The sequence below is a fragment of the Homo sapiens genome, chromosome X (genome assembly GCF_000001405.40).
Source record: "Homo sapiens chromosome X, GRCh38.p14 Primary Assembly".
NCBI lineage: Eukaryota > Metazoa > Chordata > Mammalia > Primates > Hominidae > Homo > Homo sapiens.
The window spans coordinates 19,098,404-19,124,357 of NC_000023.11; the positions used below are offsets into that span (position 1 = coordinate 19,098,404).

The 25,954-nt window shown below is 45.0% G+C and overlaps 1 protein-coding gene across 14 annotated transcripts in view, besides 1 other annotated feature; it reads right to left on the bottom strand.

Annotated features, from left to right (window-relative positions):
* ADGRG2 (adhesion G protein-coupled receptor G2) overlaps positions 1 to 24,553 on the bottom strand; it is a 133,650-nt gene extending 109,097 nt beyond the window's left edge. For 11 of the 14 annotated variants that reach the window (XM_047441758.1, NM_001184835.2, NM_001184836.2 and 8 more), the window contains exon 1: positions 24,039 to 24,065. The gene's annotated coding sequence lies outside the window, so the exon portion shown is untranslated. Of the gene's footprint in view, positions 1 to 23,502; positions 23,722 to 24,038; positions 24,066 to 24,499 lie in introns of those variants that run through there. The other 3 variants (XM_047441756.1, XM_011545434.2, XM_006724455.3) reach the window with 2 other exon arrangements.
* Positions 8,590 to 9,219: an enhancer, noted in NCBI's record as "OCT4-NANOG-H3K27ac hESC enhancer chrX:19125111-19125740 (GRCh37/hg19 assembly coordinates)". NCBI's record gives its function as "activates a minimal SCP1, AML or CMV promoter by ChIP-STARR-seq in primed H9 embryonic stem cells {active_cell/tissue: H9 hESC(primed)}" and the evidence as "EXISTENCE:reporter gene assay evidence [ECO:0000049][PMID:30033119]".

Here is a 25,954-nt window from a genome sequence, read left to right on the forward strand (position 1 = left end):
ACACAGCAAAATGCCAACTGGAGGGGGGACCATGGGTGGGCTGAATTTTTTACTGGGTTTTTCTGTAATTTCTGAAAATGTAATGATAAAGATACATTTTTTTAAAACATAAAAATAAATATTCTCACAGGCATAGCAGATTTTGTAGGATTTTTTTTTTATCCAAGTAACAGCAAAACAGAACCACATCAGTAGTAGCTCAGTAAAACCTGTATGTTAGTAATAACTATAAAGCAAACACATAAAGCAGAGAAGTGGATATGAAGTGTGTTGGAGGTGGGGGAGGTAGCAATTTTAGAGAGGTGTCCTGTGACACCATCATGAGAAGATGACATCTGAGCAAAGCTGCTAAGGGAGGTCAGGGAGTGAGCCAGAAGGCACTGCCACACAGAAGATGAATCCTCAATCACCTATTAACCCAGATAAGCAAAATTGCTCCAGACAGAAATCAGTTCAGACTTAATGGGACAAAGCAATGGGTCAGAAGAAAATTAAGTGAGGCCAGGTACAGTAGCTCATGCCTATAATCCCAGCACTTTGGGAGGCCAAGGCAGGTAGATCACTTGAGGTCAGGAGTTCGAGACCAGCCTGGCTAACATGGTGAAACCCCATCTCTACTAAAATACAAAAATTAGCCAGGCGTGGTAGCAGGCGCCTGTAATCCCAGCTTCTCTGGAGGGTAAGGCAGGAGAACTGCTTGAACCCAGGAGGTGGAGGTTGCAGTGAGCTGAGATCGCGCCACTGCACTCCAGCCTGGGCGATAGAGCGAGACTCCATCTAAAAAAGTTAAAAAAAAAAAAATTAAGTGATGGGCTGGCATGGCCTTGACAAGAAACAACAGCCAAAGTCTAGCAAATGCTTCCTACAGCATGGATTGAACTGCTTTATTTGTATTAACTTGCTTTATTTGTATTAACTCACTTAATCTCTGCAACGACCCTGGTTAGGGCATGCACATAATTTAATGTCCAAATGGGGGTATGTGAGAGTAAAATGGGGCACTATTGATTAATGTGGAAAAAACAGGCATAAATCAGAGCTGCCTTGGCAAAACCAAGATACAGCACCACCTGACCTAGAAGGCATACAATTATGACTGCTTTACAGACAAGGAAACTGAGGCAGGGCACAGAGAGGTTAAATAACTTGCCTGATGTCACAAAGGTAAGTGGCAGAACAAGCATTTGAACTTGGGCTGCTGAGCTTCTGAGCCCACATTCGTGACACCTACACGTGATTGCCTATCTGTGTTTCATGTGCTTAGAAGCTCGTCACGCTAAAAACCTGGGTTGTATTTGTCACTGGAAAGTAGAAAACGCACCAGCTTTTAGAGTTGAACACCAGCATTAGGCCAGGCACAGTGGCTGATGCCTGTAATCCCAACATTTTGGGAGCCTGAGCTGAAAGGATCCCTTGAACCCAGGGATTTGAGACCAGCCTGGGCAACATAGAGAAACCCCATCTCTACAAAAAATTCAAAAATTAGCTGGGCATGGTTGTGTATGCCTGTGGTTCCAGCTACTTGGGAGGCTGAGGTGGGAGGATCACTTGAGCCCAGGAGGTTGAGGCTGCAGTGAGCCATGATCATGCCACTGCATCCAGCCTGGACAACAGAGCAAGACCCTGTCTCAAAAAAACACCAAAAAACACGACCACTTTACAAGGTCAGCAACCCTGGACAACCATAATAACCCCTTCAAGCCTCAGTTGAGTCACCTGTAAAACAAAGCTACTGAGACCTACCTCATAACAAACACTACTTCAACACTCAGATGACATCGTGTTCCTGACAACGCTTTAGAAGCTGAAAAGCACAACATGGGTAGAATCCTCAAAAGTTATCATAGGTAAAAATCTGCATTTCCTCTGCAAAGGGTCAAATAGTAAATATTTTCTGTAAAAGGCCAAATATGAACTATTTTAGGCTTTGCAGCCAAAATGGTCTCCATTGCAATGACTGAACTCTGCTGTTGCAATGCAAAAGCAGCCATGGAAAACATGTAAGTGAATGAGCGTGACTCTGTTCCAATAAACCTTCATTTACAGAAACAGATGGAGGGCCTTGGGCCATGGTTTGCCAACCCCTGGCCTAGAAAAATGCTATATAAAATTGCAACCCCTCACGGCTTCCTGTGCCTCTTTCCCAAGATTCATTTTCCTCCACAGACACCACCTAACACCATCTAACTGACCGTGTATTTTACTCAAATACCGTCTGCTTCACTCACTGGAAGATAAGCTTCTTTGCCGAAGGCAGAAGTTTTGTCTGCTTGGTTTACTGTTGAGTCCCCAGTGCCTGCAAAAGTGCCTGGCACATACTAGGGATGTTATAAACATATGTGAAAAGAATGCATGGCTGAATGAATGGAGAGGTTTTGAAAGAGTTGGACATACTATTGGGAAAGGAAGGCAAATCTATGCCAAGTAAAAAAGGAAACAGAAAGATAACGACATCTGAAAACGGGAAGAAAAGCGATGGCAAATGAAAGCAAACTCAGCTTTGCGATTCCTCGCGGGCAAAGGGTAAAAGGATTATTTGCAAAACCAATTTTGTGAGTTGTGAACATATGGAAGAACTAGAGCTTTATAAAACAATTTCCAAAGTTAAGTGGTTAAAATCTAAAGGAATTATTGGTTGGATTAAGATTTAGTTATGAGAATAGCTTGAGGTGTGTTTCAAATCAACTAATCATGAGATTGTGTGTGTGTGTGTGTGTGTGTGTGTGTGTGTGTGTGTGTGTAATTCCTGCTCTTCCCCCACCCTGGCAACTGTGAGTTCAGTTGTTCTCTGGGAGTGGTTTGTGGATAAAGCAAAGGAAGAAAAATGAGCTAGAGCTACATGTAGCCAAGAGAATCAATCTCACAAAAATAGTATTAAATGAGATGAAAGTTGCAAAATGTGAAAGTAAAAAACACACCAATCTTATAAAGCTTAAAAGGCATGCGAGTAGCATTCTCTCTTGCTTAAGGACATATTCCTATGTAGGAAAATATAAAGAAATGTATTAGAAGGATAGCCAGGCACGGTGGCTCACGCCTGTAATCCCAGCACTTTGGGAGGCCGAGGTGGGCGAATCACTTGAGTCTAGGAGTTCGAGACCAGTCTGGGCAACATGGTGAAACTCTTTCTCTACAAAAAATACAAAAATTAGCCGACCCTAGTGGTGTGCACCTGTAGTCTCAGCTACTTGGGAGGCTGAGATGGGAGGATCATTTGAGCCTAGGAGGCCAAGGCTGCAGTGAGCTGGGATGGAGCTACTGCACTCCAGCCTGGGCCATAGAGTGAGACGCAATCTCAAAAAAAAAAAGAAATGTATGAGAAAGATAAACAACAGTTTCAGGATAGTGCTTACCTTTATGCACTTTTGAAAACTGATGCAGGGCCAAAGTTAAGCACCTCCAGCTGTTACCCCATTAATGGTACAGGTTCAAAGGGGATGGAATTCCACATGCAGCACATACTGAACCAGCAGTGACCCACCCTCAACAGGTCCCCAAGAGCAAAGGCCATACAGGAGTCAGACCCACGTGCCTGATTTCCTGACCCAGTGTTCTGATTGCCTGAGCTAATTATCCACAAGCAGCTGTTCCCAGCAATAACAAGCCATAAGAAGTGGCTCGCTTTACTTCAGGTACCATTTGGATGTTAGTAGGGGAGGAAGATGAAGTATTGCGGTGAAAATATTGCCGGGTGTGGTGGCTCACACCTGTAATCCCAGCACTTTGGGAGGCCAAGGCAGGCAGATCACTTGAGCCCAGGAGTTCAAGACCAAAGTGCTGGGATTACAGGTGTGAGCCACCACGCCCGGCCTGGACTCCCTCTTTAAAAGGCAATGTCTTTCACATCACTCATAGATGCAAAAAAGCAAGATGAAGGACTCATTTCTCTTATTTTAAGGGGTATTTTGCAGGAACTGATATGAACATAACTCTGAGGACTAGGACAGGCCTTGGCAAAGTTAACAAGCCCACCTCACTTGAAGAAAATCAATTTCCTCTTTAGTACTCTTTGTGTCTTCTAGGTGGGGGCCATTCCCAACTTGTAGGTGCCCAGTGACCTCATACTTTTTCACTGGCTCTCAGGAGAAGGCCTCGCATGGAGGCCCATCGACCAGGTTCTGTGCTCATTTAAATTATAACACTTTAAACCAAGGAAATGAATCTCTAATTGTGGAATTTCAGATTTCAGCCAGATCAACAGATGAGATACTGGTGGGGGTGGGGAGATGGGGGTGGAGTCATGCACAGTTATTGCTGTGGACTTGTGTGTCCCTCCTGCCAAATTCATATTTTGAAGCCCTAACCCCCAGGGTAACCTGTCTCTCCCTCTCCCTCTCCCTCCCCGCTTCCCCCACCTCTCTCTGCCAACTGAGGACACAGTGAGAAGGCAGCTGTCTATAAACCCAGAAGAGGGAACTCACCAGAACCTGACCATGCCAGCATCTTGATCTTGGACTTCTCGGCCTCCAGAATTAAGAGAAATAAATTTCTGTTGTTTAGACCACTCAATCTATGGTATTTTGTTCTGGCAGCCCAAGTTGACTAAGAAAGTTACAGGGTAGTGTCAGAGGCATTTGAGCCAGAGTGACTCCATCTTGAATAGGGACTGGGTAAAATAAGGCTGAGACCTGTTGGGCTGCATTCACAGGAGGTTAGGCATTCTTAGTCACAGGATGAGACAGGAGGTCGGCACAAGATACAGGTCACAAAGACCCTGCTGATAAAACAGGATGCGGTAAAGAGGCCAGCCAAAATGCACCAAAAACCAAGATGACGACAAAAATGACCTCTGGTTGTCCTCACTGCTCATTATACGCTAATTATAATGCATTAGCATGCTAAAAACACTCCCACCAGCGCCATGACGGTTTACAAATGCCATGGCAACATCAGGAAGTTACCCTTTACAGTGTAAAAAGGGGAGGAACTCTCAGTTCCGGGAATTCCCTGCCCCATCCCAGAAAACTCACGAATAATCCACCTCTTGTTTAGCATATAATCAAGAAATAACTCTAAGTATTCTCAGTCGAGCAGCCCATGCCACTGCTCTGCCTACGGAGCAAACATTCTTTATTCCTTTACTTTCTTAATAAACTTGATTTCACTTTACTCTATGGACTTGCTCCTAATTCTTTCTTGTATGAGGTCCAAGAACCCTCTTTTGGGGTCTGGATCGGGACCTCTTTTAGTAACAGTAGCAGTCACCTAGCCATCCACCCTTATTGTTTTAATAGATGTTTTAACATTAAAGCTAGCCCTGTTGATACCACGTGTACTCTCAAAATACCAAATCCAAAGGACTAAGTGTCTAATTAGGACCCCCAAGATGCCCAAACAGAGAAACAGGAGTCTGGCCTGGGGGCAGCACAGCCTGGCAGAGGTATGCAAAACTGTGAGACATCCAGGACAGTGTGCCCAGTGAGGCCACCCTCCCAAACATCTCTGCCTGCTGTGGGTTCCAAAGATGAGACAAACCATAGAATGGGGAATTTCAAATACAAGGTCTTGAGGGGAAAAGGCTGGGTCCTATCACACGTCTGAACATATAGAGGGGCCCAGGCAGCCCTAAAATCCCCTAAAATGCACTAAGAGGCATAGATTGTGCCAAGGTTCAGATCCACTTCAGTCTGGGGAAGAAGGCAGGAGGAGGAGAAAGCTGAGGACATGGCTAAGAGGAGCAGTGACCATCGATGCAAAGCTTCGGAAACGGATGTAGGTAGGCCCTTGAAACTGAGTGTCAGGGGCTCTGTTCTGTAAAGGTCTGAGAAGGACTCCTCATCCCAAGAGGCTATGCAGAGAACCCACCACAGAGAAACTCAGTGAGGGAGGCCTGTGGAAGGGAGTTGGCTGCAGCCAGGATGTGGTTTGTAGGAGCCCCCGGGATGTGATCAAGCTTCTGAGGCAGAACTCAGAGATACACCCTCTGGGTACAGGTCAAAAAGACCTGAACTAGCTTGACTGGGGTGTCCAGAAAATCAACTCTGTTGACCAGATCCCAAAACAGCCCGGGAACAGAGAAGCATTCTCTCCATTATCAGGCTTATTTCCAGCCATCTGACTGTTTGGTGTCACGCAGACAAAATATCTAGATACTGGTGAGATGCCCCTCAGAAGAAACCCCATGGGGCTCCCCCTTTTTTTATAATAGGATTTTATTAAAATTAACAAAAGGAATTCCTGACTGTTGACCAGTTTTGCCTTAGTTGGGTTCCTTCAGAAGGTAACTCTGCTGGGTGTGGTGGCTCATGCCTGTAATCCCAACATTTTGGGAGACCAAGGTGGGTGGATCACTTGAGTGAGGCCAGGAGTTGAAGACCAGCCTGGTCAACATGGTGAAACCCCGTCTCTACTAAAAATACAAAAATTAGCTGGGGGTGGTGGCGGGTGCCTGTAGTCCCAGCTACTTGGGAGGCTGAGGGAGCAGAATCGCTTGAACCCGAGAGGTGGAGGTTGCAGTGAGCCAAGATCACACCACTGCACTCTCGTCTAGGTGATAGAGCGAGACTCTGTCTCAAAAAAAAAAAAAAAAAAAAAAAAAGTAACTCCAAGGCTGGGCGTGGTGGCTCATGCCTGTAATCCCAGCACATTAGGAGGCCGAAGTAGGCAGATTGCTTGAGGCCAGGAGTTCGAGACCAGCCTGGCCAACATAGTGAAACCCCGTCTCTACTAAAAATACAAAAATTATGTGTTTTGTATTTCTTCTTCCTTCTTTCTTTTTCTGCTGCTGCTGCTTCTTCGAGATGGAGTCTTCCCATATTGCCTAGGCTGGTCTTGAACTCCTGGGCTCAAGCAATCCTTCTGCCTCAGCCTGAGTGTTATTCTCTTTGACTCATCCATGAAAGTGGATCCAATGTGTCTATGTATATTTTTTAAATTAAACTTTTATTGTAGTACAAATTATACACAAGGCCATCAGCAGTAGAAAGGATAAACCATGGTAGTCATGCAGTGGAATATTATTTGGCAGTGACAATCATCCAACTATAATTAGTTGCTATTTAGGCCATGTTAAATAGGCCTTTGCAGGGACATGGATGAAGCTGGAAACCATCATTCTCAGCAAACTAACACAAGAACAGAAAACCAAACACCACATGTTCTCACTCATAAGTGGGAGTTGAACAATGAGAACACATGGACACAGGGAGGGGAACATCACACACGGGGGCCTGTAGGGGGATGGGCGGCTAGGGGAGGAAAAGCACTAGAAGAAATACCTAATGTAGGTGATGAGTTGATGGGTGCAGCAAACCACCACGGCACGTGTATACCTATGTAACAAACCTGCACGTTCTGCACATGTACCCCAGAACTTAAAGTATAATAAAAAAAATTTTTTTAAATACAAAAATTAGCTGAAATACCCCGTCTCTACTAAAAATACAAAAATTAGCATGGTGGCGTGCACCTGTAATTCCAGCTACTGGGTTGGGAGAATCACTTGAACCTGGGAGGCGGAGGTTGCAGTGAGCCAAGATCGCACCACTGCACTCCAGTCTAAGCGACAGAGCGAGACTCTGTCTCAAAAAAAAAAAAAAAAAAAAAAAGAAGAAGAAGAAGAAGGTAACTCTTTGGCACATATTCGAGATAAGTAGTTTATCTGGGCTGTGACCCCAGGAAACACAGATAGAATGGACACGTGAGTTGGGGCAGGAAGGCAGCCAATAGATGGCGTTATCAAGCCAGTCACCACTGGGGGCAATGGGAGTTTAGTCCTTCTGGGGAATTCTGGGAGCCAGTGTAGAACACCGGTCTGAATTATCCCACTTGAGGGTATGGATCCACTGACTTGCATCAGGCATTGGTTGAAGGCTGCTCCTGGGGTGGGGTGGGAGCTGTTAATTCCCTGGCACTTCCAACCTGCAGCATGGATGTGTAAAGAGGGCCCCCACAGAGAAATGTGCAGCTCGTGGCTGGAAGGTGACTGGTGTGTACTATAATGGTGGGGCCAGGGATGTTGAAACAGACACCTAGTTGCTCTGGAATGAATGAGGAAGTGTGCGATAGTGAAGCCAGGAGAAAAAAGAGTGGCTTAATGCCTGCCCCACCCCACTCCTTTCTCCATGTCAGTATCTGGGATAGTGTGTGTTTGTGTGTGTGTGTGTGTGTGTTTCGGTTTGGCGTGTGTTTGAGGTTAGTGGTTTTTCTTCAGGTGTTATGAGATATTTGAGGAGAGTCCAGGTGAGGGAGATTTGAAAGAAGTTGCTATTCCAGGTTAAAAAAAGAGCACTGCGGCTGGGTGCAGTGGCTCACGCCTGTAATCCCAGCACTTTGGGAGGCCGAGGTGGGCAGATCGCTTGAGGCCAGGAGTTCGAGACCAGCCTGGGCAACATGGTGAAACCCCGTCTCTACTAAAAATACAAAAATTAGCTGGGCGGTGGTGGCGGGCACCTACAATCCCAGCTACTCGGGAGGCTGAGGCATGAGAATCACTTGAACCCGGGAGGTGGAGGTTGCAGTGAGCCGAGATCATGCCACTGCACTCCAGCCTGGGTGACAGAGTGAGACTCTGTCTCAAAAAAAAAAGAAGAGCCCTGGGCTTTGTCTGCTGCTTTAATGCAGGCTACACACAACCTGGTTCTGCCGGCAGTGCTGAGAGGACAAGCCCAGAGGGGTACTTGGGAGAGCTGTTTATCATCCATCAGTGGGCAACGGGCAAATGCTCCATATAATCCCCAGGAACATGGAGGCAGCTATGTTCTAAAGCTTCGCTACTCAAAGTGCAGCTCCCCCGCCCCAACAGCAGCATCACCTCACCTAGGAGCTGCAATGCAGAAATCTCTGGCCAGTCCCAAACCTGCTGAATCCGCATATGCATTTTAACAAGATCCCCAGGCAATCGTTTTGCATGTTGGCATTTGAAAGGCACTGCTGTGCATGACACTATCTGCTAATCGTTTTCCCTGCCTAAAAATTTGTCTCCCACCAAAATCAAATGGAATGTATTTGCTTCATTTCAGACAATATTTGCTCTATCCAGTTGGTCAAATGACCAGATTAGCTGAGAGGAGACAGAGAAAAATACTACTGTCAACCAATACACCACAAAATAAAGCATAATTTAGTTTTTTAACCCTCCTTCTTTCTTCCTTTCTTTGTCCTTTTTACTTTTCCTTGGCAAGACTAGGAATCAGTGCTGAATAAGCCTGTACCATTCTAAAGCTATTCGGGTGGTAAACCTTTACCTCTATATCTGCAAAACACATTCAGCAGTTCCAGGAGTTTTGTTTTTTGTTTTTTTTTTTTTTTTCATTTCAAAAGAAATACAGCTGGGGGTGGGGATGGTGGGGGCAGGCAGGAAAAGAAAAAGCAAGCTAAAATTCTTAAGATATTTTAAAATGATGATATGATATAGGTAGTTGGTAAAGGAAAAAATCAGCATAGAAACCAATTATTAGAAAAAAATTAAAGTATAGGCTGGGCGCGGTGGCTCACGTCTGTAATCCCAGCACTTTGGGAGGCTGAGGCGGGCGGATCACAAAGTCAGGAGATCGAGACCATCCTGGCTAACACGGTGAAACCCAGTCTCTACTAAAAATACAAAAAATTAGCCAGGTGTGGTGGCACGCACCTGTAGTCCCAGCTACTCAGGAGGCTGAGGTAGGAGAATCGCTCCGGGAGGTGACACAAGGTTGCAGTGAGCCGAGATCGCGCCACTGCACTCCAGCACTCCAGCCTGGGTGACAGTGAGACTCCGTCTCAAAAAAAAAAAAAAAAAGAAAAAAGAAAATTAAAGTGTAAAAACAACTAATGCTAGAACTTAATAAAAAAAGTTACAGAAAGCCAGGTGCGGTGGCTCATGCCTGTAATCCCAGCAGTTTAGGAAGCTGAGGCGGGCAGGTTGCTTGAGGAGTTCAAGAAAAAAAAAAAGTTACAGAAAGAAAGTCTCATCATTGTCTATGGATACAGATGTGTGAGTTATGTCCAAAGGTGGCTACTAATCCTAATTGCATTCAGAGGAGAAAATAATTGACAGTAACCATAAAAACTATTAATAATCTATTTAAAGCATTCTTTTAGGTATTTACCTGGTAGTAATGCACATATATGTTCACTACAAGATAGGCAAGAGAATCACCCACAGCACCACTCATAAAAGCCAAAACTGCTGGAAACCAAACAAAGGCCATCAGCAGTAGAAAGGATAAACCATGGTAATCATGCAACGGAATATTATTCGGCAGTGACAATCACCCAACTATAACCACATGCAACGATATGGAGGAAATTCACAAACAATACTGAGCAGAAGTCAGGTAGCCTGTCTGGTACCACATATAGGAAATTTAAGAACAGGCACAATATGTGGCATTTGAGGGAGAACAGTAGTCACCCTTGGGGGGCAGTGAGTGAAAGGAGGCAAGAGGAGGGCTTCTAAAGGCTGCTTGTGTGGGATTCTTGATCTGGGGGCTGGTGACAGGGATATGCACAGTTTGTGAAAATTCATTGAGCTGTACATTTGTAATGTGTATAATTTGTACTTCAATAAAAGTTTAATTTAAAAAATATATGTAGACACATTGGATCCACTTTTATGGATAAGTCAAAGAGAGTAACACTCAGGCTGAGGCAGAAGGATCACTTGAGCCCAGGAGTTCAAGACCAGCCTGGGCAATATAGGGAGACCCCATCTCAAAAAAGAAGAAGAAGAAGAAAGAAGAAGGAAGAAGAAGAACGCTCTAAATATGTCCATGAAATACTACTTGACACACTTGCCTGCTTTCATAAGGATGGCTGCTTGAAATGATGAATCGTGATGAACAGGTGATCAATATCACAAGCTGAGTAATGGCGCCCAGCTCTTGACTCATGTATGAACTGTGAATACAATAAGCATTTGGCCCAGTTTAAAAAAAAATCCTACTGGGTCAAGGGTGATGGTTTCTCCAAATACCCCAAAAACATGTGGTATATTTCTGTCAAAAAGCGAATCATCTGCTGACAAAATCATTAGTCGTGTTCATTGGTACAGATTTTTTCCTGGAAGCTTTAAAATCCACTACAAGAGCTTTCCCAAAAATCACACCAATCTTCAAATAATACCTCAAAGGGAAACCACTTCAGTATACATCTTCCCAATCTTCCTCACTCTCTCCCCACATATTCAAGTCATGAATTTTAGACCAGTACAAAGTACTAAACATTTTTTGGTGCCCTTTTCTCAGATTTCAATAACACACACGGCTTATCACTTGTGTTATACCAGAGCTAACGTTGAAATGGGCACAGGAAATGATACTATTAACAAAGGCAGAGAAGAATGCCACTTCCTTTGCTATCCCCTTCTTCCCACCTAAAAATCCACGTGATCCTCCCAAATGAAGTGTTTCAAAAATTTACACGACAGAATCCCAAGATAAAACATGTCGATTTTGTGGAATCTGAGAACCAGTCTTGTAGTTAGGAGGGCCAGGAAAGTCCCACACTGAAAAATGTGACACTAATGATCCCTGGAATTCTATCACTGTTTTTTTCTTGGTAAAATGTAATTCCCCTTTGTCTAGAAACCCTAATAATCAGGATCCTAACACAGAAATATGAATCTCTTTATCAGATGATTGTCTTCACTGGAAACTTCTAGACTAGCCCCAGACACAAGAATGTACTCTTGGGGAAAGACAACAAGAGGACATTTAGTGAGTATCTTCCATGTGCTGAGAATCATGCATGAAGGATTAAATGTATCATTTATTCATCAAATATTTATTAAACACCAAAATTGAATACTACATGCCAAATACTATTCTAGGCACTGGGGGTAAAGATGTGGACCCTGCTCACATTCTAGTGTGAGGAGGGTGGAAGGAGGAGAAGAGAACAATAAATGTACAAATCAACAAGGAAATTAACAGATAATAAATACAGCATTGAGAATTAGAGTAAGGTGAGATGATATAGAAGGTAACCTGGTGGCTATTTTGGATCAGGTCATCAAAGAGGAGATATTTAAACTGAGATCTGAATGATGAGGAACCAGCAATAAGAAGATAAAGGAGGGACCAGGCGCGGTGGCTCATGCCTGTAATCCCAGCACTTTGGGAGGCTGAGGCGGGTGGATCCCTTGAGGCCAGGAGTTTGAGACCAGCCTGGCCAACATGGCAAAACCCCATCTTCTCTACTAAAAATACAAAAATTAGCCGGGTGTGGTTGCATGCACCTATAATCCCAGCTACTCAGGAGGCTGAGGCACAAGAATCACTTGAACCCGGGAGACAGGGGTCGCAGTGAGCCAAGATTGCGCCACTGCACTCCAACCTAGGTGACAGGGAGAGACTCTATCTCAAAAAAAAACAAAAAACAAACAAAAAAAAAAAACAAAAAAACAGAAGATAAAGTAGAGGACAGAAAGAACATTCCAGGCAGAACAGTTAGTATAAAAGACTAAAATGAGGTTAATGTGCTGGAAGAATCAATAAAGAAGCACAGTCAGCAAGAGAGATAGAAGAGGGGCAGGGACTAGAACATGGCAGACTTCCATAGTCCAGTAGGGAATGACACAATCCAACTAATGCTTTTAAGAAGATACTCTAGCTGCCATGTGGATATTGGATTCTAGGAGGCCACTACAATCATCCAAGAAAGAGACGGAGAAGGATGGAAGTATAGTGGAATAGTAGGAGTAGAGAGAAGTGGGAAGACTTGGGATACGGTTTAGAAGCCAAATTGACAAGATTTGTTGATGGGTTGGATGTGGGGCATGAAACTAGTAGGTGTGGAGCCTGAACGATGGAGTGAATGGTGATGTCATGGACTGAGATGGATTTCACAGGGAGAGAATCAGGTTTTGCATGAGGGTGACAGGGAATCAGGATTTTGCTTTGGAAAATATTGAGTTTGAGATGCCTCTTAGAGATTCATGCAAATTATTAAGTCTTAAGTGTAGGAAAGGTCACAACTGGAGATACTGGCATCTAGATGGAATGGAAAGCCATAGGAATGAATGGGCTCATCCCAGGAGAGTAGGTAGAAAGAGAAGAACAGTTCCCAGTGCCTTGGAGGGACATCAACCTTCATAGGTAGAAGAGAGGATGAGGAGACTTAGAATGAGCTACCAGAAAGATAGGAAAACCAAGAGAGCGTAGGATACTGGAGGCCACAACAAGAAAGTGGTCAAAGAAGGAGGGAATGACTGTCAAATGCTGCCGCCAAGTAAAACATGGTAAGTAAAGAAGTGATGGCTGTATTTGCCAATGTGGATATACTGAGGACTGACAATGTGGTGTGATAAAATATGAGCATCCTTTTAAGAAGATCTTCTGAGAAGGAGTGACTAGAAATGGGGGTGGGGAATGAGTGGAGGAGAATATGGAATTGATGAAGATATTAGACATTAGAGCAGGATTGTAAGCTGATGGGAATGATCTAGAACAGGGAGAGAGGAGTTCATTAGGCAGAAAAGAGAGAAGGAAACAATGCATAATTAAGTCCTTTACAATTTGTGCACTAAAATAATTAAGTATAGTAATGAATTGCAGACCTATTTTGAAAATATGAATTATTTGATACCAAAAATAAATAGATGAATCAATCAATAAATAGGGGAGAAGGAAGGGCTCTGGACCAAATGTGGAGGGAATACTAGAGTCGAAAATTATTATTTTCAACCATATTAAAGAATAGATCATACAAAAATCATCACTGGATGCTAAATCTAAAGGGAATTATTATTATTATTATTATTATTTTCAGACAGGGTCTTGCTCTGTCACCCAGGCTGGAGTGCAGTGGTCCGATAATGGTTCATTGCAACCTCGATCTCCTGGGTTCAAGTGATCCTAATACCTCAGCCTCCCAAGTAGCTGGGGCCACTGGCACATACCACCATGCCTGGCTAATTTTTTAATTTTCTTTGTAGAGACGGGGTCTTACTATGTTGCCCAGGCTGGTCTGGAACTCCTGGGCTCAACTGATCCTCCAAGTAAGCCTCCCAAAGTACTGGGATTACAGGCGTGAGCCACCACACCTGGCCCTAGAGGGAAATTTTGAGCAGGATATTTGTGTCTTCCCACAGACTGTGGATTTGGAAAGAAAAACCAATAACTACACAGTGGAGAAATTAGACAATGCCCTGGCCAAGTGATCAAAATTAACATCACCAATGAGGAAGAGATGGACATTATGAGCCTCCAAAATAAGATACCCTGAGAAGGATATAATGTCATCCACGCAGTGTTCAGGCTAAAAATGCATAACCTGAGTCCAATCACAAGAGACATCAGACAAACCAGACATGATTAATGTTCTATTAAAAAAAAAAAAAAAAGGCCGGGTAAGGTGGCTCACACCTGTCTGTAATCCCAGCACTCAGCACTTTGGGAGGCCAAGGCAGGTGGATCACGAGGTCAAGAGATCGAGACCATCCTGGCCAACATGGTAAAACCCCGTCTCTACTAAAAATACAAAAATTAGCTGGGTGTGGTGGCTTGTGCCTGTAATCCCAGCTACTCGGGTGGTTGAGGCAGAAGAATTGCTTGAACCCGGGAGATGGAGGTTGCAGTGAGCCGAGATCGCGCCACTGCACTCCAGCCTGGCGACAGGGTGAGACTCTGTCTCAAACACAAAACAACAACAACAAAAAAAAAACCAAAAAAAAAAAAAAAATCAACGTTACAAAGGACAAAGAAAGGCAATAGAAGTGTTCCAGACTAAAAGAGACTAAGAGACATGACAACTAGATGCAACAACTCTAAACCTGCCGGTGCGGTGGCTCACGCCTGTAATCTCAGCACTTTGAGAGGCTGAGGCGGGCAGATCACCTGAGGTCAGGAGTTTGAGACCAGCCTGGCCAACATGGCAAAACCCCATGTCTACTAAAAATACAAAAATTAGCTGGGAGTGGTGGTACGTGCCTGTAGTCCCAGCTACTCGGGAAGCTGAGGCAGGAGAATCACTTGAACCTGGGAGGCAGAGGTTGCAGTGAGCCGAGATTGTGCCACCGCACTCCAGCCTATCTCAATCAATCAATCAATCAATGCAACAACCCTAAACTGGATCCTGTACTAGAAGGAAAAAAATGCTGTAAAGGATGTTATCAGGTCTATTGTCAAAATTGGAATACAAACGGCAGATTAGATAACAGTATCTTATCAAAACATTTACTGAGATTGATAACAGCGCTGTGATTATTTGAGAGAATATTCTTATACTTAGGAAATCCCTACTGAAGGATTTAGGAGTTAAAGTTCTTGCTGCATGAAATTTATCTTCAAATGGTTCAGGAAAATCCTAGGTACACGAGCAAGAGTGTAAATGATAAAGCAAACAGGATAAAATGCTAACAACAGAGGAATCTGGATTAAGGGCATGGGGTGTTCTTTGTACTTTTTAAAAAAAATGTTCAGCTCATTTGTAAAGTTTAAAATTATTTCCAAATAAAACGTTAAGGCCGGGTGCGGTGGCTCACGCCTGTAATCCCAGCACTTTGGGAGACTGAGGCAGGCGGATCACCGGAGGCCAGGAATTCGAGACCAACCTGGCCAGCATGGCGCAACCCCATCTCTACTGAAAATACAAAGAAAAATAGCCAGGCGTGGTGATGGGCACCTGTGGTCCCAGCTACTCAGGAGGCTGAGGCAGGAGAATCACCTGAACCCGGGAGGCAGAGGTTGCAGTGAGCCGAGATTGCACCACTGCACTCCAGCCTGGGCGACGGGGCAAGAATCTGTCTCAAAAAAAAAAAAAAAAAAGTAAAAAAAAAAAAAGTCCCTGAGAAGACAAAGAGGATGAGGGACCCAGAGCCCAGAAAAGCAGCCAGTTTTTGATCCATTAGGGGCATTTCAGTCACAGCTTCACAGTGGCACTGGGGAACACTTTATTTGCACAAATATGGGCCTGTTGGGGGTCCAGGTAGTGGGTTATGAGGAGGCTCCTGTTGAATGAGCCAGAATCAGCAACTGATCTAGGAGGGGCAGAGGAAATAAAAGGTGTCAAACAACTGTTTTGGAGAATGGAAAAACAAACCCACTAGGCAAGCATGGTAGGACTGCAGGCCATGTTGAAGGTCCATTTGAGGTTTATTAAGGTCAGGAACAAGACCTGGACATCGGTATTGATTTATCAAGCTCCCCCAGTGATTCCAGTGGGCAGCGGGCTTTCAGAACCACTGTGCCACGGCAGGGTTTCTCAACCTTGGCACTATTAATGCTTGGGCCGGATCACTGTTTGTTGGGGTGAGGGTGCTGTGCTGTGCACTGTAGGATGTTTACCAGCATCCTCGACCTCTCCCCACTAGGCGCCAGTAGCACCTCCAAACCCTGCCAGTCATGACAACTAAAAATGTCTCTTGACATTGTCAAATGTCCCCTGGGAGGCAAAAATCACCTCCAGTTGAGAACCACTATGCTAAGCCATAAACGTGACAGGCTTACAAAGGTCAGGAATTGTGCGCACTCCTTGCTCTAGCTAGGAGCTTGTGATGAAGAACACAGGCTCTGAAATCAGATGGTCTGTATTCAAACCCCGGACCTACTGCTTACCTTCTGTATGACCTTAGACAAGTAACTTAACTTCTCTGTACCTCAGTTTCCTCATCTGTAAAATGATGAGAATTGTACCTGCTTCAAGAGGTTGGGAGGATTAAATGAGTTAATAGATGTAAAGCAATAAGGGTAGTAACTGCTCAGTAAATATTAGCTATCATTATTATTACGAGAGTGTCAGAAATATAGTGGATACCAGGTGAGTGTGTATTGGTTAATGAACTGCTTACATTAAAATACTCCACGCTTAACCTAAAGAAATTTCCACACTAACATTGGAACAGAAAGGCAGGGCACATTATACTTCTCTTAGGACAAGTGTCAGATTTTATCTATATTCTAGGCTCATTCATTCGGTCATTTGACACGTGGATAAAGCACCTACTACGTCCCACTGTTCTAAGTCCTGACAACACAATGATGAGCAAACTACACAAAGTCCCTGCCTTCCTGGAACTTATATTCCAGGAAGGAAAAGAAGACGCAGCATCAGTAAACAAATAACTAAATAACATAATTGCAGGTAACAGTGATATAAAGAAAACAAAAGTGGGATAAGGGAATGGACCCTTCCTGTGGTAAGTGGGGAGTACGGTTTTAGAATGAGGGTTAGAGAAGACTCAGATGAAACAAAGAAACTATCTGGTGAAATGGTGTTCTGGGCAGGTAGCACAGCAAACGCTTGGCTTGGGTGAGGAACATAAGCACGGAGGAGGCTGTGTTTGGAGAAGTTGAGAATAGGGAGTAAAGGAGGTACCAGTGAGGCCCTAGGGATTGATTGTAAGTGTGGTAGGAGGCGGCGCGGTGGCTCCCGCCTATAATCCCAGCACTTTGGGAGGCCGAGGCAGGAGGATCACTTGAGGCTAGGAGTTCAACAGACTGGCCAACACGGTGAAACCCTATCCCTACTAAAAATACAAAAATTAGCTGGGTGTGGTTGCATGAGCCCAGGAGTTTGCGGCTGCAGTGAGCTATGATCACACCACTGCACTCCAGCCTGGGCTACAGACTGAGACCCCATCTCGTCTAAGAAAAAAAAAAGTGCAGGCCGGGTGCAGTGGCTCATGCTTGTAGTCTCAGCACTTTGGGAGACTGAGGCAGGAAGCCTGCTTGAATCCAGGAGTTCGAGACCAGCCTGGGCAACACAGGGAGACCCCGTCACTACAAAAACTTTTTAAAAATTAGCCAGGCATGGTGGGGCAAGCCTGTAGTGCCTCCAGCTGCTCAGGAGGTTGAGGTGGGAGGATCGCTTAAGCACCGAAGGTTGAGGCTGCAGTGAGCCATGATCATGACACTGCACTCCAGTCTGGGCAAAAGAACGAGATCCTGTCTCAAGAGAAAAAAAAAGTCCGGGCGCAGTGGCTCATGCCTGTAATCCCAGCACTATAGGAGGCCGAGGTGGGTGGATCAACTGAGGTCAAGAGCTCGAGAAAAGCCTGATCAATATGGTAAAACCCCGACTCTACTAAAAATATAAAAATTAGCCAGGCATGGAGGTGTGAAACTGTAGTCCCAGCTACTAGGGAGGCTGAGGCAGGAGAATTTCTTGAACCCATGAGACAGAGGTTACAGTGAGCCAAGATCGCGCCACTGCAGTCCAGCCTCAGCAACAGAGATTCCGTCTCAAAAAAAAAAAAAAAAAAAAAAAAAGTGTGGGAAGAGGTCATTAGAGGAGTTTGAGTCATGGACTTATAAGACTGCATGTATTGGCTATTCTGTGGGGTCAAAAGTAGACACTGAAAGACTGGTTTAGAGGCTACACAGTAATTCAAGAGAGAAATAGGTAGTTACACTGATCTCAGAGCATAATAAATGAACTTACTTTGCATCATAGCAGGATCTGATATAAAATGAATCGGTTCTGGACATAATCCAGCAGTTTGGGGACTTAGAAACTAAATGAGCAGTTTTACAAAACAATGTTTTTCAAACTGTGGGTCAAAAAATCAAATGAAAGGGTAGTCAAATCAATTTGGAAAATCATGATCATCAGTTTAAAATGAAATAGAACAGATGAAAGATAATTGAAAATATCAATACATTGCACACAGGAGAAAGACAAAGACTTTGTGAGAGTTTGTTTCCATTATATACAAGTATGTTTGGACTGAGCTGAAATATAAAATGTGGCCAGGCGTGATGGCTCACGCCCGTAATCCCAACACTTTGGGAGACCGAGGCGGGTGGATCATGAGGTCAGGAGTTCAAGACCAACCTGGCCAAGATGGTGAAACCTCGTCTCTACTAAAAATACAAAAAAAAAATTAGTCGGGTGTGGTGGCGGGCACCTGCAATCTCAGCTACTCGGGAGGCTGAGGCAGAGAACTGCTTGAACCTGGGAGGCAGAGGCTGCAGTGAGCTGAGATTGCGCCACTGCACTCCAGCCTGGGCAACAGAGTGAGACTCTGTCTCAAAAAAAAAAATTAAAAAATTAAAAAAAAGAAAGAAAAAAAGAAATATAAAATGTACTTATTGTGAATGGTGGGCAAAAAAAGTTTGAACACTAGAAAAAGCTACCTTGTTTATACATGAGTAGGTTATAAACTGTCTCTTGATTCTCTTTCTTCCTCAGTACACCCAGCATTCCCCCAAATAAGAACATTATTAAAAAAACCTCCAAAGGTAGGTTCTTCATCATCTAAATAAAATGAATTACCAGGCGCAGTGGCTCATGCCTGTAATCTCAGCACTTTGGGAGGCCGAGCCGGGTAGATCACTTGAGGTCAGGAGTTCGAGACCAGCCTGGCCAATATGGCAAAACCCCGTCTCTACTAAAAATACAAAAATTAGCCAGGTGTGGTGGTGCGCCGCCATAGTCCCAGCTACTCAGGAGGCTGAGGCAGGAGAATCACCTGAACCCAGGAGGCGGAGGTTGCAGTGAGCCGAGATTACTACCACTGCTCTCCAGCCTAGTTGACAGAGCAGGACTCTATCTAAATAAAATAAAATAAAATGAATTGACTTAATGCTACACTAACTTCTCCTCCAGTGAGATCAAAATATGAACTTCCAAAGTCAAGAAGCAAACTAACTGATCCTAAACCTCTTAGGCTTTCAATGGGAAAAAAAAAAAAAGAATTCCAAGCAGAACAAGAAATTTTAAAATTAAACTTTTAGACTTTTAGCAAGCTAACAATGGAAAAGAAACATCCTGAGGATAATTAAGGTAGCCACCAGAACCCTATGGCAAGCACAATAGTTAATGGTAAAATAGTAGCAACTACTACTCAACATTATCCTACAGGGAAGCCTAGCCACTAAAGCAAGAAAATAAAATGAGGTAAAAATATTGGAGGGAAAATTCCCTATATTATTGCCATTTGCAGACAATTTGACTGTCTACTTTGAAAATCCAAGAAAATCAACTGAAAAACTATTAGAACTAAGAAAAGTTCAGTAAAATGGCTTGAATGTAAGATAAATGTACAGAAAAACAATTAAATAGCCTTCCTACTCACTACCATAGAAAATGAAGTGGGAAAAAAGGATACAATTTCTTTTTGTTTTTGTTTTTCTTTTTTGAGACAGAGTTTCACTCTTATTGCCTAGGCTGGAGTGCAGTGGCCCAATCATAGCTCACTGCAGCCTCAAAATCCCCGGCTGAAGAGATCCGTCTGCCTCAGCCTCCTGAGTAGCAAGGACTACAGGTGCATGCTACCATGCCCAGATAATTTTTTAATTTTTTTTGTAGGGACGGGAATGTTGCTATGTTGCCCAGGCTGTTCTTGAACCCCTGGCCTCAAGCGATCCTCCCACCTTAGCCTCCTGAGTAGCTGGGAATCCAGGCACGAGCCACTGTGCCCGGTTATCAGTTTTTGATAAAGCTCACATACAACATAGCCATCTTCTACGTGTTTACCTGAGTGAAATAAAAGTTTACATTCATCCAAAAAGCCATATGTGAATATTTATATTGGCTTTATTCATAATCATCAATAGTTGGTGAGTGGATAAACAAACTTTGGGATACTGCTCAGCAACAGTAAGGAATGAAGTATTGATCCGTGCAACATAGATAAACCTCAAATGCATTATGCTAGGTGAAAGAAGCCAGGCTCAGAAGCCTACAGAATACATAAGTTCTTTTACAGGACATTCTGAAAAGAACAAAATTATAGGGACAGCAAACAAATCAGTGGTTGCCAGGGGCTGAGAGTTGGGGGAGGCTGACTACAAAGAGTCAACAGGGAATTCCTTGGAGTGGTAGAATTCTTCTACATCCTGATACGGTGGTGGTTACATGACTATATACATTTGTCAAAACTTCTAGAACTGTACACTGAAAAGAGTGAATTTTACTGTAATAAGTTACACTTCAATTTGAAAAACATGGAGTAGACTGAAGAATCCATTAAATCGATTTGTAAAATGGGACAGTGTTTACCACAATTTATTTGATTGCGGGAATTTATTTTATGATAGCTTTCCCCAAATGTTAGCCCGTTTAAGTTCCATCACCCACCACCTCACACCACAATCCCAAAATAAATTCCATGCGGATTAAATACCTACACATTTTTGAAACCATAAACATTTTAAAAGAACTTTTTTCTTCCTATCTTGTGGTCAGGAAAACCTTTCTCAGTGAAGCATAAAAACTAGCTCCCAGGTTTTAACTAAAGTCAGAATCCCTCCTTTCTATCTTTTGAATCATGGACATCACAGAAACACCTCCCTCTCCCTCCTTTTGTTAATTTAATAGCACTCTTCCCAGTTTGGATCGTGTATTTGAAAGCGACTTGGCACGCTCAGGCAGAAAAGTGGAAAAATGTGTTTTTCAGTTTCATCTGAGCCGTCAAAGCACCAAGAACATATGTCGTGATGTCCTGCTCTGAGTCCCCACAATGATCACATCAGCCATGGAAAATCAGCTTCTTTGCTGGCTCTTCCTTGCACCTGAGCAAACTCACTTTGCCATTTCTGGAAGGCTGTTCATGGTACCAAAAACACAGCAGCTTTCCTTTCCCTGCCAAACCCGCCAATGAAATGCCACTTATCTGACTTTTTCTCCCTCTGCTGAACAAAATCATATCCATAGTTAGAGTACAATCTTTTTCTTTTCTGTATTTCCAACATTTCTTTTTTCTAGAAAAATACACACACCTGGAATCTGTGTTTTTTGGGCAAGATTTCTTCACAGACAAAATACTGATGCTGGCCCTGCCTTTCTTCAGTGTTTTTCAGTAGCTAAATATGCTCTATCCCCCTTTTAATGAAAGTCACCTTGCAGAGATGTGGGAGTGATAAAAGCAGAAGGGAATCCGATCCGGGCTGGCATCACGCTGAGGCCCTGTAAAAGAATACTCCTGAAAAGCTACAAAATTTGGCCACTTTTTGTTTTCCAGCTTTGCATTTGAGCTGTGAAAGCTGCCAAACCAAGCAATGTCCAGCTCATCTTAGATCTTAACTAAGCAAAATTTTATGAGATGCTAAATAGAGACTCCCCAATCCTTTGAAAATAACACACAACTTGTCAATAAACTTACAAAATTATTTCAATATCAAACTTAATTGTATTGTCTATCAATAATTAAGCTCCTAATAAACTGTTAACTGTTGATATTAATAAAGTAATAAATTTTGTCACACCATGCATGCCTGGGTATGCTCTTAGACTTATCTCTTCAGATAGCCAAAGAGGAGTTGAGAAAGATTGGAGATAACTGCAACATCTAGCTAGTCTTCCCTTAATAAACCTCTACTCTCCATCACCCACCATCTCAAACCCTGATCAAAAAATGGGTTCTCTTTCCACGTATGGTGACTATTAGGATCAGCTACATAATTTGTGGGACCCAGTGCAAAATGAAAAGGAGAGGCCCCTTGTTCAAAAATTAAGAATTTCAGCATTAAACCAAGTGCAGGATGCATGTCCATGAAGCCAGCCCTGCTATCAGATCATGTATTTGGCTAGAAAGTTGGTAAGAAAAGTAAAATATTTCGCTATTAAATGAGTAGTGAAGGAAATCAAATCATTTTACCCCAAAATATATTTCTTTGACATATTTTGAAATAGTTGACATATTTCTAAATATTGACGTATTTAGAAAGCCAGCCAGTAGAGCTAATGCAAAGCTGTCCTTGGTGCGGAAGATTTGCATTTGTAGAGAATCTGCACGGATGTAGCCAGGCTTTATCGAGGTCCTCCCTTGTCCAGATCTAAGAGAAATTAACTGAGGATCTGACCCCTTTAAAGGTCTGAAAGAAACATTTACTGTTTATTCTCTCTGAGGGCTGCCACCTGTGAGGTTTCATTGACATCTCCAGACCATTTTTGCTGGCCAAGCCTCCTCTTCTCCCCCTCTCACAACCTCTTTTACCACCATAACCTGTTTGGGGCCATGCGTTGAGACCCCTTTCTTTCTGTAACCTCAAGATAATCTACATGCTTCTGTACCCCATTGGGGGGCTGGGGGTAATCACTCTATTGTTCTCTCCCCGTGGACACATTAATACATTTGCATGCCTTTTCTCCAATCAATCTGTCTTTGTCAGTTAATTTTTCAAGCGAACCTTCAGGGGGCGAAGGGAAAGTTTCCCTTGGCCTTTATAGTAGCAAGTGTTTTTGCGTGCGTTTGGGGGTAGAGGTGGCAAAGAGGTATTAAAGCTATACATACTGTAAAGTCTTAGGACCTCGTCTCCCAATCTCCCACTTTTCCTAAGGTTTTCAGCCTGCTGGACAAAAAGTACTTCCGTAGGGCCTGCCGGATAAAGTGTGGTCCATGGAACAGCATCAGCAGCCACTGGGAGCTTCTTAGAAATGCAGACGCTCGGCCCCCACCCCAGACCTGCGGGATCAGAATCTCATTTTAACGGGATCCCTGGGGGATTATCGTGCACAGTACAGACTGTCACTGTCGAAGCAGCCACGGAAAACCTGTCCCCTGCTTCGTCTGGCTCTCGGGAGGTCAGCTCTCTTCTTCCCCCTCACTTTTTATCGGGTTTCGGAGCCTCGAAACTCGAGTCCCTGCCGAAATGCGCTCACTCCGAGACCACGAGCCCCCTCCTTCCCCGGCGTGCTCACCCCCTGGCTCCGGGCCGCCGCTCCGTCCCTCGGTGCCCGGGGCCACCTGTTCGGGGCCGCGCCGAGTGGTGCCGCCCCAAGCCGTCCGGGGCCCGGGCGCGTTCGCGCTCCGCCAGCACCGCCGCAGCCCGACCAGGCGCGCGGAGCCGGGCTCCCGGGAGTTGGCGTCTAGCACACCACCCGCGCGAGTCAGGCTCGTGGCTCAGTTTCCCGCGGGTTGGGGAAAGTACGGCTCCGTCCGAAGGTTTTGGAGACGCGCGTCTCCCCTTGGAGCCTCCTTTCCCACGGCGCGCGGGCTCCCCCAGTCGGGGAACTAGCCCCGGGGCTGGGAGCTACGCCTCCGCCTTTCAGGATGTTCCCGGGCCCCGGCTAGGAACAGCAGCCGGGCGGAAGGCGCGTTCGTCCCGCCGGCCCGCTGGCCCGCCGCCCTCCGGGGCTAGACGCTGCGCCCGAGCCTCCAGCGCCCGTGGCCGGCTGTGCGAGTCTGGGTCTCAGGACCCCAAGGGGCCAGACCCGTCCTGGCGCCGAGCGCTTACCTGCCGCTCGCGTCCTCGGGGCTGGCTGCTGGCGCCGTCCGGCCCGCCTTTTCCCCTCTCCGGGGCTGCGGCCCTCCTCCCCCCGCCCGCGGCCTCGGCGCCGCCCCCGCCGCTCCCGGCCCGCTCCGCCGCCAGCTCTCCAGCTGCCCAGCGCGGCGTGGCGCGTCGGGCGCTCGGCGGCGGCGAGGCTGGGCGCGGAGGTGGGGAGCGGGCGGGGCGCGGAGGGAGGAGGGGGAGCGGGCAGCGCGGCCGGCCGAAGCCGGGCTGGGAGCTCGGGGCAGGGGCAGGGGCCGGGGAGAAGCGGGGGCGGCGAGCTCGGCCGCCCACCCCACCGCAGCCGGGGGCCCCGCAGCGCTCCTGGGCTCCAGGCACTGCGGGACCCTCAGATGCCCGGCGTCCAGCCCAGCGAGCTCCTCCTTGGGGACCCCAACGGACCCCAACCTCCAGACTCAGCGGCTCACCTTTAGGGCTCGCCCCGGTACCCATATGCCCGTTTCAGTGTCGCACGCTGTAATGGGTGGGAGCCCCGAGGGCGCACTTCTACCAAGATATTCCTGAATCCGGAGATCAGATGTCAGACCACTTGAGAGGGGAATTTGGAGAGAGCAGTAAACGAGAAATGTCCCAGTAAAGGATTCAGTTCGATGGTTTTCCTGGTGAAGGACTGGAAATACACCGGGTTCCCAGAAACCGGGATCTCGGGCGCTCTGCCTGCTGGGGGTCGAGGTGGAGGGGGTATATAAAGTGAGTTGTCCCTGGTCCCCTCTACCTTTCTGTCTCAGCATCTCTCCTCCTGCATGGTCATAGAATAAAAACTAGATCTGGATAGGACTTACAGATCCCCTAAGCAATTTGTCAAAGTACCCTATTTTACAGATGGGAAAATGGAGGCTCAGTTCTACAATACGAATTAGTTGTAGAGACCAGGGAAAAAATAAGCGCTCTGAATTCCCTTTCCGGCTCATTTTACTGCCCCCCTCCCCCGCCGCCTTTATAGTCGAATAACACCTGTGTTTGCAAAATGCTTTGTCGTTTTAAAGGCATCGTTCTCTTTCGTTAAACCTGCGGGAGAATATACCATTTTTCCTTTACAACTAGAACAAAATTCTGGATTCTGAATTGCATTCACAGCCCTGGAGACGCGATGGTTATCAAGTGCAGATCTTTAAGGCATATCCTGGCTGACTCTGCCATTTTAGACACATGATGGGCGAGATGTATATTCTGCTTTGCAGGAGGGGTTGAATTTGTTTTGCAAACACCAGTTTATTAACACTCACAACATTCTAACTGAATAAATGAATGGACAGTCTTTTCAGAGAGACTTTTAACTGATTGGATTAAGGGAGAGTAGAGTCAGGAAGCTCATCCAGGTTACATAAATTAAAAGTTTTGATGAAGGGGAAAATGGTGTATTAAATAAACACACCCGGTATTACTCCAACGGGTTAAATTGGTTCCGTTTGAATGAACTTAACACGTATTTTTAACTTACATATAACTTTTGCATATTAACTTCTTTATTTTTGCTTTACATAGACCTCATACCTAAAGAATTTTCATACACCGCTAGTGGGAGTGTAAATTTTTACAAGCATTTTGGAAAACTCTTTGGCAGAATCTATTAAAGCTGAGAGTACAACTACCCTCTGACCAGCAATTCCCCTTCTGGATGTACACACAACCTCAATCAGTGTGTATGTTTACCAAAGGATATGAACTAGAATATCATACCAGTATATTTGCAATAGCCCAGATTGGAAATGACCCAGATGCCCACCAACAGAATGGATCGCAGACATTGTGATGGTATAGTCACAAAGCGGAATCCCAGACAGCAATGAGACTGCATGAACCACTGCTATGCTTAATATAGATGAACCTCTGAAACAATGTTGAGTGAAGAAGTCAGGCCC